Genomic DNA, 16,274 nt, shown 5'->3' with positions numbered 1-16,274 from the left:
TTCCAAATATTCAGCCTTGAATCACAAAGTCATAAGATCACTCCAAAAGGTTTTGGCTGAAAGAATTATAGACCGTCTAGTTACATTTTAGAAATGTTATAACTTAGCCAATGTTACATACTTAAACAGTATCAGAATTGGAGCTAGAGACTAATTTAGGTTACACATATACCAATCTTGAAGGAAGCGTTTATGCTATATATGCATATAAACCGTATATGGATACATCATACAAATTAATCTACAACATGCCCCTATGCTTTGTAATACCAGCAGTGTTGATCACATTCTGCTCAATAAAATCTTTATAAACATAACTTAAATATCAGACAAAAATAAGCTGTTCTTTTGGGTGTTTAATATGAAAAATATGTAGAGAAATTAGGCTATTTATGCAAGATCACTTTACTTTCTTCCCCACCACTCACTCCATGCTCCAATTGTTTTACATAACCCATCTTTCCAAATTGTGTTTTGTATTTTCATTTTTTGTTTTCAAATTTCCTAGGTTTTTAACCAACCCCATCTTCACTCCCCTTCCCCATGCTTCTAAAGTATGATTCATCTTTATAATCCCAAGTCAAATGCCTCAACCCTTTTTGGCTGGATTAATCTCATCCTTCCTTCTCTGAATTCTTGTATAGACTTAAATTGCCTGAGAGCTATCATGGTGCCACATCAAACTGAGTTCCTTGAAAGCAGGAGCTCTGCTTTCTATTTCTTTAAATTTCTAGTACACAGTATGTTACTTGGTACAACATACGTGCTCAATAAAGATATACTGAATAGTCACATTTATGACAATAGACTTATGAGACATCCATCCACACATAGGTACACGTTGCAAATTTGTATCACTCTAAAAACAGGCACAAGCCATCTGAGGAATAATTCCAGTAGCAAAACAAAAATATACTCTTATTTGGGAATGTTTTTCGCTTTTCTGCGAAAGCAGCACCCTATACTGGGATAAAACACAGTCTGTGGTACTTCCTTTGACACATTTCTCTCCCCCATAGTTTTTCCGAAACTCAAAGATCTATTTAAGAAGTTGGACAAAGAATGGCCTATTCCCTTAATATTTCAGGAACATGAATGGTTGGACTATTCTTTTTAAAGGAATGAACAAAGCCTGAATATACAGCCAGTGGACTATAAATGGATTATTGTTTTCTTTACATTGTAAGCAACAGCAGTAAACAAGGATATAAATGTTAATGATATTTCTTTAACAAAAGCTATCCATCAGCACTGCTGCACTGTGAGCAGTACAGTGATTAAACCACTGTAACATATGTATATGTGAATATTTACAAACAATCAAGGAAAAAAAGCAGTCAGTGTAATACTGTATAACTCGAAAGAACATGATTATTATTTTTTAAAAGAAAACAAGTTTATTGTCAAACATTTTTCCAGGACATTTGCTACAATGCCTTAACTACATTTTCTTAGACATAATATTGTCTTTGCTCATTAAATCATGTTGTTTTGGGAATGCTTATTTTTGAGATCAAAGGCTACATTTTCAGTAAGTCTACCTTAACAGATTGCCTTAGACAGCATTCTATTACATTAAGTTAAAGAAAATAGCCATTCTAACTTATAATTCATTTTACTGAGGAGCAGCAATCTAATTCACATTGATTTTGAGTAAACCTTTACATACCCATCTGCTCCATTTCAAGCTAGGCTTGTACAAATCAATGCATCTTCAGTATCAACATGCACTAATCAATGGGTAAGGAAAATCATTATTTACTGCTTGGTAATTGTGTTTACATTCAAATAAAATATAGTAACATGTACAAGGCCATTTTGGAGGAAGAACGAGTGGCCTATGGATCACAAGCAGATTGTCTTACATTGTATCAGATGATCTGAGAAATTTTACCAGGAAGGTAAGAGATGACCGTAAGTCTCACCTTTGCCTCGTTTTAGCTCTTAAGGTAGTTGTCCACATTTTCATGATCTTTCAATTCTAGGAAGCCTCCAGTAGGTGAATGGTAGTTCCAGGAACCATCGCTACAGGCAGCAATTCTCCCTACTGGATTATGATCAGCTCCAGAGCTGATCTGGTCTCTGCCCACCTGCTCACTCTTGGCTCTGAAACTTCACTTTAGATTTCTCTTGTCATTTGAACTTGGAGTATATATTTGGTTTCCTAGTGTTTGAATCTCAGTTTTCCCTAGTGGCTACCTGGGACTTGTCCCGCTGATGCTCTATTTTCAAGACTACCTTGAATAGGATACCCGGTCTAGTTTCAACCTCATTTAGACTCCAATCTCTGATGCCACTAGATTCCTGCTTTAACTCCACTGTGAAGGGCAGGGGAAGGAAAGTCAAAACACAGGAATACACATAGAAGTAAATGAAATACCTTGTAGTTCTGATTCACCAAACTTTATTAAGACAGCCCTGCAAACAGCAGGACAGATAAGACTAGGTTCCTGCCTCCCAGCATAACCGAACAGATGGGCTACGATGAAATTGCCCATCAAAATTTGTTTTGTCCTATTTTATTACAGTTATTCAGACAAGGAATGCAGATTGAAACAAGGAATGGCTGAAAACAGGTTCTGTTTTTAGTGAATTTCAGTGAGTGAACAGATTCACAGTACTATGAATGCAAGTCACACATTTCTTCCATTGTAGCTTCTCATAAAGAGCTAGAGACTGTACGTGGCAAGTATCTAAGTAGTTAAGTTAGCAGCGTAAACATTGGAATGATGCAAAGAAAATGTGCTCAAAGATCATGTGCATTTGTAAATCAAATTAGCAAATAAGGATATAATTTGAAAAACAGTAAGACTTATTGTTTGTAATCCTGAAAAGAAAAAAAATCAAAAAAGCAAATAAAACCCATGGATCCAAATATGATTTTCCTTTGTAGTATTGTATAAACCTCCCATTTTAGAAGTTATTATATTACATAGAAACTTCAAATTTAGTGATTTTGAGTCCAGATAGTGCTTTAATATATACGGAATTGTAAAATTTTATATGAAAGTGAATATATTCTATAAATGCATATAAAGTTGGTTTAGACTGATAAATGATTTCTGTTCGTTGATGTTTAGCCAGAGCATTTAGTATGAGTAACCAAATCTGAGTTCATTTAGTGAAGAGTGGAAAAAATAGGTTTCTACAAATATGAAAATTCACCTAAAATATATCACCTTATAAAAAATGACAACACTTTCTAAGATGTGTGTTGCTAAAAGATATTTAAGAGAAATGAAATATCAAAGATAACTGGATCACACTTCCATGGTAAGAGAACTTGCTGTTTGGAAAAGTGGCTTTGTTTCAATGTATATATGTGTAGCACATGTAATTTGTGTAAGAGCAAAGCAAATCAGATGAGAATTTCAAGAAGTTGAGTGTTCCATAAGCAACGTGTAAAAATATTCACATTCTATAGAAGTATTATAGTTTGGAAGGGCACATTCCACTCAAAGCTCAGATATACACAAATTGGGCTGAGATGAGTAAGTCAGAAACTCAGTATAGAAGATCAAAAAATATAATTTGCTAAGTTTAAATAAAGGAGAAATTTTAAAATGTGTAGTTTTATTTGATTTAGTCATTTAATTAGTAGGCTATTTTCTAAGTCCCATTTGAACATAATAGCTGCAAACCATCATTATCCTCCATGAAGCATACACTGAAAGACCGATGTTATCTACATCTGCCATCACTCCAGCTGAATGTCAAATGTGACTGATACTGGGATATAAATGAGTATCATGACTATCCCAGTGAATGACCAGTCATCCCTTGACCCATATCCTTCAGTAATGAAGCTTTGTTTCAGGTGACAACATGGAGGATCAGAATATTTGATAAGCTTGCCTAATGTCATAGGAAAGATACAAGTCAGGTATTTTCGCCGTTGTCATCCACTATGCACAATGGCTCATGATTACTACCTGCTAGTGACTAAACTCAGCTAGCTAAATAATTTGCATGCCTTTTTACACGCCTTAAATGTCAGCAGCACCCCACTTCTTACACTGTGCATGTAGTTGAATGAGAAAGTGGGAATAGAACTGGGACACCAGGACAAACATCTAACTCTAATAAAGAGAAGACAACTCACATGAAATATGAAAATTAAAGGTTAATACTCACCAGTAATACAAAATATTTTAATTACAAAATATAGCAGTAATGCAGCTTAGAATACATATTGCCCCAAATAAGTCATCCAAGAGTGCTACAAAGAATTTTTGACTCTCCTAGAAAGTTAAGAGCTAAAAGAGATCTTAGAGATTATTTTAATGATTCTATGTCTTTAATGTGTAGATGCAGCAACTGGTTTGACCTTGGAAATGTACGTCCCCAAAACTATATTGCAAGCAGGAGGTACAAAAGCAATTAGAAGATAGATCTTCTAGTTCATGTAATACCAAATATAATGTTCTTTTTTATACACTAAGTTCCCACAGTTTTATTTCATTTCAATCAATCTTCAGGTTAATAAAAACAGGTATTATCAAATATCTATATTTATATAGATCATATAAGACAACCAAAAGCTTTTCCTAAACAGATACCTATGGTATCTAGTCTAGTGGAAGACATAATAACTATAGGTAGTACATGGTTATCAATTTATGTGCTAACAGCAAAGTATTTATTTAATGTACATTTGAAAAATATGCATCAACATATAGTTTTATAGTTTAAGGCTCAGTTAGAAGTATAAGAAGATTGAAAATCAATTTAAAGAAACAAATAAATATGGATTAGAATATGGCAAAGGTAATAAAAAGGTAAGTAAATTAATGGCGGAGGTTTGGGAAAAACTGACCTAAAGTAGAATATATTGGACATATAAAATTGAGGAAAGGTAGTTATTTACAAAAAGATGTGCCAGTGATGAAGTTTCCTAAGTAGAATAATTTAGTGTAAATGATAAAGTACCTCATGCAAGATATGAAATGAGTATTCATGTAGAATACTCTGTGACATCCACCCTATACAATTTTTTTCAAAATAATTTCTCATGTATTGCTTTATTGCTATATTGATTTCAAGAACTGATTAAAAAGCACTTTTTTCCATGTGTCTAGATTTCTCATAACTAAAATCCAATCTGAGCAAATTGAACACTAGCAATTCTCAGACTCTTAAATGAAAACACACAATTTTAGAGTCTGAGTTTAGGAAATCAGAATAATCCACCAGAGACACATTTCTTCAACAGTTTTTTTAAAAAGAGTTCTAAGGAAAACCTACTTAGCAGTTAGATTTAAATTAACTTGATTAATAGGAAAAAGCTAATGGGCAAATCTGTAGATAACTTTGTCAAAAAACAAAGCAAACAGATTTTAAGCCACTTCTGAGAAGTTTATCTCACCAATAGAATAGTGATCAAAGAGAAATCATTTGAAATTGTGTTTAGTAGAGGCTTAGCAATATCAGACCTAAATTAAATCAAATCGAGGTGTTTGAAACCATTTTAATATCAAAGAGAACCTGATGACAACTTTTCTTCTCAATAAGAACACATGGCAATTAAAGATACTGGCAGGAAGAAAGTCAGAAGGCCCAGACTGAGATTCCTGTCACTAAGAAAATTTAAATCCTCTTCTTGGTACACTGGTACAAGAGAAAAACATGACCTCATAATCTATTATCAAAAACAATCCGACCTCAGAACACAGTGTCCAAAGTTCTAGAACATTTTTATTGAGTGGATAATTTTGCCTAAATGGGTATTGGGAAAGTACTCATTTTATGCAGCCTCTCGAACTAAAAATTGTCTTGTGGATGCTGTGAGAAATACTTGCTACATTTATAAATAAACTCTGGGGTTATCAGTTACACATATTAGCAGTAATGATAATGAATGACTTACTTTTCCCAGCACTACAATGAGCTTTTATTATATCATATTATATCTTAGTCCCTTGGAATCCTGTGCTTTATGCCAAAAGAAAACATAAGATGCCTTTCCTCATTTTAGTGTGGCAAATACAATATCAGAATGAAGTGTGACATTTATATGTACCTGTGCTGATGCGCTTCGTGAACTAAAACTATTTAAGAACTCATATCTTGCATATTCAAGGAAGGATTAGATTGAATCCTAAGAAATTGTTTTTGTAGGTCAAAGATATCCAAATATCAGCCATGTCATGTGGTTTAACTAAATATTTTTAAAAGGCAAGTCTCCGTTATCTCATGTGACCTTTTACAGTGCTTCAACAGAATTACTGCAAAAATTAAATGAGATGGCACATCCAAAAGTACTTGGTCAGGTATGAATATCTACAGGCTATACAACCTGAGCTTGGGAAGAAGAAAAACATGTGGCTGGGCGTGGGGACAAAGCTGCCGTGTAGTATTCTAATGGCAGTTGAGTGGGGTCTGAAAAGCTTAAGGTCATTTGTAAGGCCAAAATCAGTCCACAAAAGAAAAGGTAAAAATTAAATGGATTATGATTCAATTCCAACTGAATCTAATTTCTGACTGGGAAGGGTTATGGCAGGCAATGGCAGAAATCCAGTCAGGTAGAAAGTTAGTGTCAGAGAAAACAATGGGAAATTCTATGTATAGAAACACTGGCATTCGAGTAGAAGAACCCTGACATGAAGAAGCAGTAGAGAGAACTGCTGTGAGAAACTAAGGTTACAAATTATAATTTAAAATCACGAAGTATGATGTCTGGCAGATAAACAGAAACATCGACCGGTGGAATAGAAGAGAACCTAGAAATAAATCCAAACATTTATGATCAGCTAATTTTCAACAAGGGCACCAAGAGAACACAATGGGGAAAAGGGTGGTCTCTTCGATAAACGGTGCTTGCAGAAGTGAGTTTCCACATTCAAAAAAAAAAAAAGTGAGATTGAACCACCATTTCACACCATCCAGAAAGAATAACTCAAAATGAACAAAGGACTTAAATGTAAGATCTGAAACCATAAAAGTCTTAGAAGGGAACGTAGAGGAAAAACTGACATGGCCATGGCCAAGATTTTTTAGATATCACACCAAAAGCTCAGCTACAACAGCAAAAAAAAAAAAAAAAAAAAAAAAAAAAAAAAAAAAAAAGGACTACATCAAACTAAAAGGCATCTATCTGTCTGGCAAAGGAAAAAACAAAATTAAAAGGCAACCTGTGGAGTGGGAAAAATATTTGTAACCCACATATCTGATAAGGGATTGATATTCAAAATTTAAAACCCTCACAACTCAATAGCAGAAAAACAACCCAATTAAAAAATGTGCAAAAGACCTGAACAGAAATTTCTCCAAAGAAGATATAAAAATGCCAACAGGTATATGAAAATGTATGTTTAATCATCAGGGATATGCAAATGAAAACCACTATAAAAATATCACCTCACACCCATTAATATGGCTCTTATCAATGAGACAAGTGATAGCAAACGGTGGTGGGGGTAGAGAGAAGAAAACCCTTATACACTGTTGGTGAAAATGTTGATTGGTGTAGCTATTATGGAAGTCAGTATGATGGTTCCTAAATATGTTAAAAATAGATTACCATATGACCCAGCAATCCATCTTCTTGATATATATCTGAAGGAGATGAAATCACCACCTTGTAAAGATATCTTCATTCCCATGTTCACTGCAGCATTGTTCACAATAGCCAAGATATGGAAACGACCAAAGTCAACTGGATAAAGGAAATGTGGCATATATATACCCATCCTACACAATGGAATATTATTCAGCAAGAATAAAGGATATCTTGCCATCCGCCACAACATGGATGGACCCAGAGGGCATTATGCTAAGTGAAATAAGCCAGACACTGAAAGAAAAAATGTTGCATGATCTCAATTACATGTGAAATTAAAATAAAAAGGTCAAACTTGCAGAAAAAATCTAGGGCTAACAGGGCCCAGGGTGGAGGAGAGAAAATGGGGAGATACCAACGAATACAAAGTAGCAGATGTGTAGGATGAACAAGTCTAGAGATGTAATATACAACATGAGGACTATTAATAAATTTGTATTGTATTAGGGATCTTTCTTAAATACCTAGATTTTAGCTGCTCCTGTCACACCACACACACGTAACTATGTGAGGTGATGGATATGTTAGTCTGCTTCACTGTAATAACCATTTTACTATCTATATGTATCCCATAACTTCATATGTAAACCTCAGTTATACCCCATTTTTTTAAGTGAATATAATTTTTTTAAAGTTGTAACAAGGCAGGTTCATTGAGTGCTAACTATACAGGGGTTCCATGAATATAGAGAGATTCTATTATTTAATTTAAATTGACAAAAAGCCTAATGATGTATATATTTTAATATCCATTATATAGATGATAAACTGAGGCTCAAAGAGGTCAAATCACTTGACAAAAGCTGCACAACAATAAATGGCTGAGTTGATGTTTGCATTCAGGTCATTGTAGTGTAAAGCTCATATTCTTCCCATGACTTTCTTCAAAGAACTACCGAGTCACTAGAGAAAAAAGGCCAATGCTCCATTTCTGAGTAACTGTCAAAGCTAGACTCCAGCTGCCAGCAAACCAGAGCAACAAGTTTGGAGGATACTAACAGTAAGCCTAACTTGATGCTGCCAAAAGGAGATGGTCCCAGTTAGACACTGCACTGGACTTGCCAAATTCCACAGAAACCAAGGAGAGGCTAAATTTCAGTAGACAGAGCTGAAAGACAGTGAGGACACTGACTAGGTACCCTAAGTGGGAGGCACATTGAAAGTACTAACCCTAGGAGGTACATTGAAGAAACTTATGTAGTGTGGGAAACATTTCTCATAGTATTGACCACAGTATAAGAAGAATGTGGTGTTGGCAAGTTATGAGCTATGGAGCCTGACTAACTTGCATTCAATTCAAGCTCATTGTATACAACTGCTTCTTCTGTGGGTGACTTTGAGAAGTTATTTCACCTGTCTGAGCCTCAAATTTCTCCTTTGTAATCTGGGAGTAATAAAAGTACCTACCTCATTGGCTGTGAGCCTTACATGTGACAATGCATGAACAGCACCTAGAACTGTGCCTAACAATATTAGCAAGCATTCAATAAATAGCTATGGACTTTACTTTTCTGAAAAGTAAATACCTGTTTTATCTACCTGAGACTCAAAGACAAGTTTGGGGGAAACCAGTCTTGGCATAATCTTATAAACTGTCCCAGAACAGAAACAGGTAGTGCAGAGCTATGGGAGGCCAACTGCAGTGGCATGTCCATGGTTCAGCTTTATTATTAGTGCACAGATGAGGCCGGTTCATGTAAAGAAATGGGATTGAGGCAGGTGCAGCAATACTGGGTATTTCCTTTAACTTCAACTTATTTATTAAAAGGGATACTAATTTTTTGGTAGCATATTATGAACATTGCAACCAAATCAAATTGTGAAGTACATTCTCTAAAAGAATATATGAACTAGTTTGTATTGTTATCAAATGACACTGAAAAAGTATGAATGAAAAATTTTCCTCATGGAACTAAAATGCAGCAAAACTTCACATGAAATTAGATTTCCTAAAACATCTAGTAGTTTGTTTCAAAGAAAAATGAACCCTGTGGAGAAGTTTTTATAGTCTATGCTTGATTAATATGTTTTATTTCTTCCTTTTTATATGCATATATAAAACTACTTGTTTTATTGATCAAAGTGTTTAGAACCTACACTATTCCTTGTGATAGATACATAGATCGATATGGTCTTATACAAAATTTATTGTATACAAGTGACAGAGTGATCTCATAAAATAGAGCTCTGGCTTTTTTTTTTTTTTTTTTTTTTTTTTTTTTTTTTTTTTGAGACGGAGTCTCGCTTTGTCGCCCAGGCTGGACTGCAGTGGCGCCATCTCAGCTCACTGCAAACTCCGCCTCCAGGGTTCACGCCATTCTCCTGCCTCAGCCTCCAGAGTAGCTGGGACTACAGGTGCCCGCCACCATGCCCGGCTAATTTTTTGTATTTTTAGTAGAGACGGGGTTTCACCGTGTTAGCCAGGATGGTCTCAATCTCCTGACCTCGTGATCCGCCTGTCTCGGCCTCCCAAAGTGCTGGGATTACAGGCGTGAGCCACCTTGCCCGGCCAGAGCTCTGGTCTATTGCATTTTTTTTTCAATTCAGTTCTTGAAGCTCACAACGGCAAACATCAACAAGATGCAAGAAGAATATGATAAAGTTAATTCATATTTCCAAATGACAAATTCAGCTTTACTCAGAGATCCTTCAACATAATAAAATCAAGCTTTATGACACCATTTCCAAAAGATATTCCATGGTCTTGCCATTAAAGCTTTGACTGAATCACAGCCAAAGCGCAAAGTCATTCTTTGTTGTTGCAAGTCCTTCAGGGCCTCCTCAAGTGCTTCCTGATGCAGACTCAGGCTCTTACATGGCACACGTGAACCTTCACAGACCTCTAAGTTTCCTGTCTTTGCAGCTGCAAATCCTGTGTCCCCAACTACCCTGCCACCAGCTCCACTGCGTTTCCCATACCTACCTTAATCTTCATCAACATCAAACTGTTTACTGTTCTCCAATAAAACAGGCATTTAAAAACACATTTTCTCTGCTCTAAATATTCTTCTCAAAGTAGAACTGCTAGTTTCTACTTATCACTGAACACCTGCTGTAAGTGTGAAGTTCTCTTAAGTTTTTGCCTGGTCCCCACTGCCTTCCACTGCTGCTACACAATGCTAATTGCCCTCTGCTCACCCTCATGAGCATATGAGGGCTACTGTACCTTCCCCCGCCACACATTACTGAAACTAGCATATTCATTTGCACATAGTAGGGAGTGTATTAGTCAGAGTTCTCTAGAGGGATAGGACTAATATGATAGATATATACAGGAAAGTGAGTTAATTAAGGAGTATTGACTGACACAGTCACACGGTGAAGTTCCACAATAGGCTGTCTGCAAGCTGTGGATCAACTAAGCCAGTCCAAGTCCCCAAACCTCAAAAGTAGGGAAGCTGACAGTGCAGCCTTCAATCTGTGGCTGAAAGCCCGAGAGCCCCTGGCAAACCACTGGTGTAAGTCCAAGAATACAAAAGCTGAAGAACTTGGAGTCCAACATTGGAGGGCAGGAAGCATCCAGCATGGGAGAAAGATGAAGGCCAGAAGAGTCAGCCAGTCTAGTCCTTCCACGTTCTTCTGCCTGCTTTATTCTAGCTGTGCTGGCAGCTGATTTAAATGGTGCTCACTCATATTGAGGATGGGTCTGCCTCGCCCAGTCCACTGACTCAAATGTTAATCTCCTTTGGCAACACCCTCACAGACATAACCAGGAACAATACTTTGCACCCTTCAATCCAATCAAGTTGACACTCAATGTTAACCATCACAGGAGTTAATGGATGTTTGTTGAATGCACAAATGAATAAACTAGACACTACTATTCTCACTCTGAACTAACGTTCTATTTTTGATAAAAATTTCTTCTGGTTTTTTCTTTTGTCCTTGAATCCCATAGACTTTAGGTTACCAAAATCCTACCTTGCTGTTAGCAACACTTAGAACTGACATCTGTTTTTGAACTGCACAGTCTAATGGCTAGATTCCTGATACTTCCACTGGACTCCTCTAATATGGTCCTACTTCTGCTTTCCATCCAGCATTGCCATGCTTGGCAAACATGTGCAAGAACATTGAGTTACTTAACACTGGACCCAATTTATATTGCCTGTGGGCCTGAATGGCACTTATTTATCAGTGTCCAGAGATTTAGGTTATTAAGTCTGTTTACTGGCTTGGACATCATCCCAGCATCTGATTCTGGATATGTCCATCTCCCCCCTTCCTGGCTTCTCTCTCTGCACCTGTGTCAACCTAGGGTTTGGATTTACATCCATTTCTAGGGCCTTTCCCAATTTGAATGATATCATAGTAAATTGCCATGCTCATCCACATACTAAAAGATGACTTGTGGCAGCTTTAATGTTTGACCTAACAGCAATGTTGTTTGTGAATAATTTGATTTTATGCAATAGAACATTCTGACTTTTCCAGTTTCTAAGGGATATATTTATGATTCAAGACTTATAGCTTGTTCATTTATATTTTGGTCAGGGAGGAGCAAAACCTAGAAATTAGTTTCTTTCATTTAAAAAGTGCTTTAAACTATTTTAGGTGGTACTTAGATGATCCTTGCAATTTTCTTGTAAACCAGTTAAAACAGTTGTATTTTATCCACATTTCATGGATAGGAAAATTTAACAGGGTAAATCTAATGACATATCCCATCAATTATGTGTCTAATTATTAATGATGATGATAATCAAATGTAGATCCTTAGGCTCTTGCTTTATAGCTCTCTCCTTGGATTATACGTGCCTGTTTACTGACGATTGCTCATGTGGACATTTGTGGAGACATTCTTGGTACTCTCTAAAATTGCATTTGATTAATACAGCACATATGAGTTGTTACAATCTTTTAAATGTTGTGGTAATTTTAAATAATTTGGTATTTAAGGTAGTTTAGTGAACCTGCAACAAATGTTATCTTGAAATTTCAGTGTTCATTTCTAAAAATCTAGTGAGAAATGTAGAAAGGCAGAATTATCTGAAAGAATTCACTAGTCTTTTCATTTCCATGACCCTTTAAAAACTTCTGGAAAGGCTCTGTTTGATTCTGACTATGCACTTTCATCCTGAATGCTCACCTCTGAATAACATGCAAACTCCGGAGCGCTAGATATTCAAGTGTATTTCCAGGACCTTGTAGAATAACAGTGACAAAGAGGGCTTTGTGAAGGTTTTCCTACCATCTAGTATAAAATGACATTGGGACTTCCTCAAATAGATTCCCCTGCTGGGATGCACCTTTGGGAAGCAAGTGATAGCACATGAGAGATGGGCCAGCCCCAAACATAAAATAGATGCCATGGCTTTGTTATGAATCTGACAGACTTCGGGGTCAGGGCTCCTGTCAGGAGGGAATGAACACATTTTTCAAAGGAGCTCTAGGACATGCCAGGAAACCTGTGACTGTGTGGGTGTTTCTTCCCTTTTGACTCTAATCTCTGACTAATAGAAAGTATACTTAAAACCAACCAACCAACCAAAGCACACTGTAACACCGAGAAACTATTAAGCACTATTAACACTATTCAAATGGAAGTGAGTATATAACAAGTGCCTAATTTAACAAATATGCTAAAGAAGCTGTTTGGGTAGCCATTCATTTGGGTAGGTTCTTCCCACTCTCAAATGACTGGGAAGTCATTTAAAGTATGACACCGTATACAGTAGTTTGAGGCAGGATTGCACAGTGGTTAAGCGCCAGGAGTTAGAACCAAGACCAAGATTATAAGCCTCTCTCCAATACTTGATAATTCTGTGACCTTGGGCTTCTGTTTCCTAATCTTTAACACAGGGATATAACACAATGCTATAGAATTACAGTCAATCTCAAATAAGATAAAGCATGACAGGTCTTAAGCAGGAACTGCTTCTTAGTAAAGTTTGATAATTAGTGGTTATTACAGAATCATTAATATGAATGTACTTGATTTTTTAAAAACACTTCTGATAAGGTAAGTGGCCTTCCAAATATCACAGTCCAGGGAAGAGCATACTGACTTTGAGCCAACTGAACCTGGATAAGGAAGCCAGATCCACTAATTTCTAGCAGTATGATCTTAGAATGTTACTTAGTCCCTCATAGCATCAGTTTCTTACCATGTAAATAAGAATACTAACTACTTCTGAGAGTTGTGCTGAACATGAAAGAAGGTCACACATACCACACACCTACAGCAATATGTGGCTAGTCCCTTTTGCCTTCAGTGAAAATCTATGATTATAAACTTTGTCCATCATTTCAAGTTGGGCAGAATTGAAAAGACCAAACATTTTCCTTCTATGACTTTGTCTGGCAATTTGAGCTCTTAATTGTATTTGCTCCAATATTATGAGCAAAGACAGTTGAGAAAAAACAACATCTATAGGTGACATATTGGTATGGAGAGACCAAATCTGACAATTGGTCAAATTACTGGAGAGCAGATAATTTACAAAATAAAGAAAAAATTTAGAGAGAAGCATAATTGCAGATTTAAGTACATAAAAATTTAAAAATTAGATCCTCAACTTATGTTAAAAGCTTTAAAAAGGCATTGGGAATAAAATATTATAACAAATATGAAAGATCAAGTGGTATCATCATCTTTTATGCAGTATGTGCTCCCATGAATTGATAATCAATATACTAAGGTCCTGACAAATAAACGGGCAATAGCAAGGATGCAGAGTATATAGAAGAGGAAATACAAGTACTGAACAAAGCAAAATCTCTAGAACTTATTAATCCAAGCATAGAAATTAAATAATAGCATTAATTACTTGTTAATTATTTTAACAATCATTATTGCTGGTGGTGAGGCCCAATGAAATGCTAACTTTCTAGCATTGTATTTTCCCTAACTTTCCAATTTTCTGCATGAGGTAATATTTTTAACTGGAATTGCTACTTAAAATAATTAGATATTAGATTAACAGCTTTGGAGTAGTTGACAAAAATTTTCATACCAGGATGAGAACACATGAAACCCACGGTTGTTTACTGTATACAACAATTATGTATCAAATCTATTTTCAGAATATTTCTAGAAGATGTAATTTGCATGGCTATTTGACCAGGGTCTAGGAGAGAATCTAGGTGACATTAGGCAGTAAATACATGCAGTATCTTATATTTAAAAGCAGACTGTGAATATAGTGTTCTATGTGAATATAGGATATTATTAGTGATATGTATTAGTCTGTTCTCATGCTGCTAATAAAGACATATCTGAGACTGGGTAATTTATAAAGGAAAGACATTTAATGGACTTACAGTTCCACATAGCTGGGGAGGACTCACAATCATGGCAGAAGGCAAAAGGTACACTTTACATGGTGGCAGACAAGGGAAAATGAGAGCCAAGCAAAAGAGGAAACTCCTTATAAAATCATCAGATCTCGTGAGACTTATTCACTACCATGAGAACAGTATGGGGAAACCACGCCCACGATTCAATTATCTCCCACTGGCTCCCTCCCACAACATGTGAGAATTATGGGAGCCACAATTCAAGATGAGACTTGGGTAGGGACACAGCCAAACTGTATCAGGATATAACTTTAGAAATGGGAAGAAGGTTCAGTCTGTGAGAGAGAGGACAGATGGTTGACAGTAATTATATTTGTTGACATTTTCCTAGCATTTTATTTATTTAGTTTTGGAAAGCATTTATTTCTCTTATTTAAAATAAATACATAAATATTTATCTTATTTAATTCCTTCAATAATTCTGTAAAAGACATATATATATATCATTTCCCTTTTACAGATAATATTAAAACTGAGCAAGGTTAAATGGTTACCCTCAATTCAGAGGGACAGTAAAGACTGGAGCTAGGCTTGAACCTGAGTCTCAGAACTAAAGGTTCTATACTTTGTATGATGCTGGACTGTAATAAAAATATTAATATATGAGCTTCAGTTATAGGAATGGAATGTTACTATAGGCTAAAATGGAAATTTTGAATAGAGATTTAGTATAATTTGGATGCAGTAGAAAGAGGAAAGATAATATCTACAAATATTTTCTTTAGCTTTTATTCTCTTGAGAATATTACAGTAAAAGGTCCTACTGATTGCTAAAGAAGTGAATGAGACCATTGTCTGGAAATTCTCACCTGAAAGTCTTTACAATAGAAATGAGCATTTGTACCTGAGCCTATAGTTATGAGTTATCTCCAAGGATCTCCAATCCAGAATTAGGTGGAGTTCCCAGAAGAGGCTGAATTTCTATAATTATTAGGAGTTTGTGTCACTCAAACATTCCTCAGTGGGTCTCAAAAGCAATTCAATTTTAGGGTATGCTCTGGGTCTAGCATATCACCCTTTCTTTTTTCTAGAAGTGTGCTGTCCGAATAATTACATTTAAATTTAAAGTAAATAAAATTTAAAACTCAGTTCTTTAATCAATCTAGGCACATTTTACGCACTCAGAAGCCAGGTATAGCTAGTGACTACTATAGTGAACAGTGCAAATTTATAGAACATTTTCATTATCACAGAAAGTTCTCTTGAGCAACAACTTTCCTAGATTATGGCTGCTTTTTCTAAGGAGGAAACCTTCAACCTGGGGAACATGGAAAACTGTTGAACCATTTGGTGAGCTTGAATCCTTTTGTGAGGTTATTCTTGATCTCAGGGACCATCGGTCTTTTGTTCTACATGTTTCAGGATTATTATGAACTTTCCAGCTACTAAGAGGTCAAGAAAGAATAGCAGTGGCAAG

General features: G+C 35.8%; 1 protein-coding gene across 20 annotated transcripts in view; it reads right to left on the bottom strand.

Annotated features, from left to right (window-relative positions):
- GALNT13 (polypeptide N-acetylgalactosaminyltransferase 13) overlaps positions 1-16,274 on the bottom strand; it is a 1,388,282-nt gene that overhangs the window by 95,104 nt on the left and 1,276,904 nt on the right. The gene's annotated exons all lie outside the window — the stretch shown is intronic.

Source organism: Homo sapiens, chromosome 2, assembly GCF_000001405.40.
Source record: "Homo sapiens chromosome 2, GRCh38.p14 Primary Assembly".
In the NCBI taxonomy this organism is placed as follows: Eukaryota; Metazoa; Chordata; class Mammalia; order Primates; family Hominidae; genus Homo; species Homo sapiens.
Note: the sequence above shows the minus strand (reverse complement) of the source record. Positions and strands in the feature narration are given on the sequence as shown.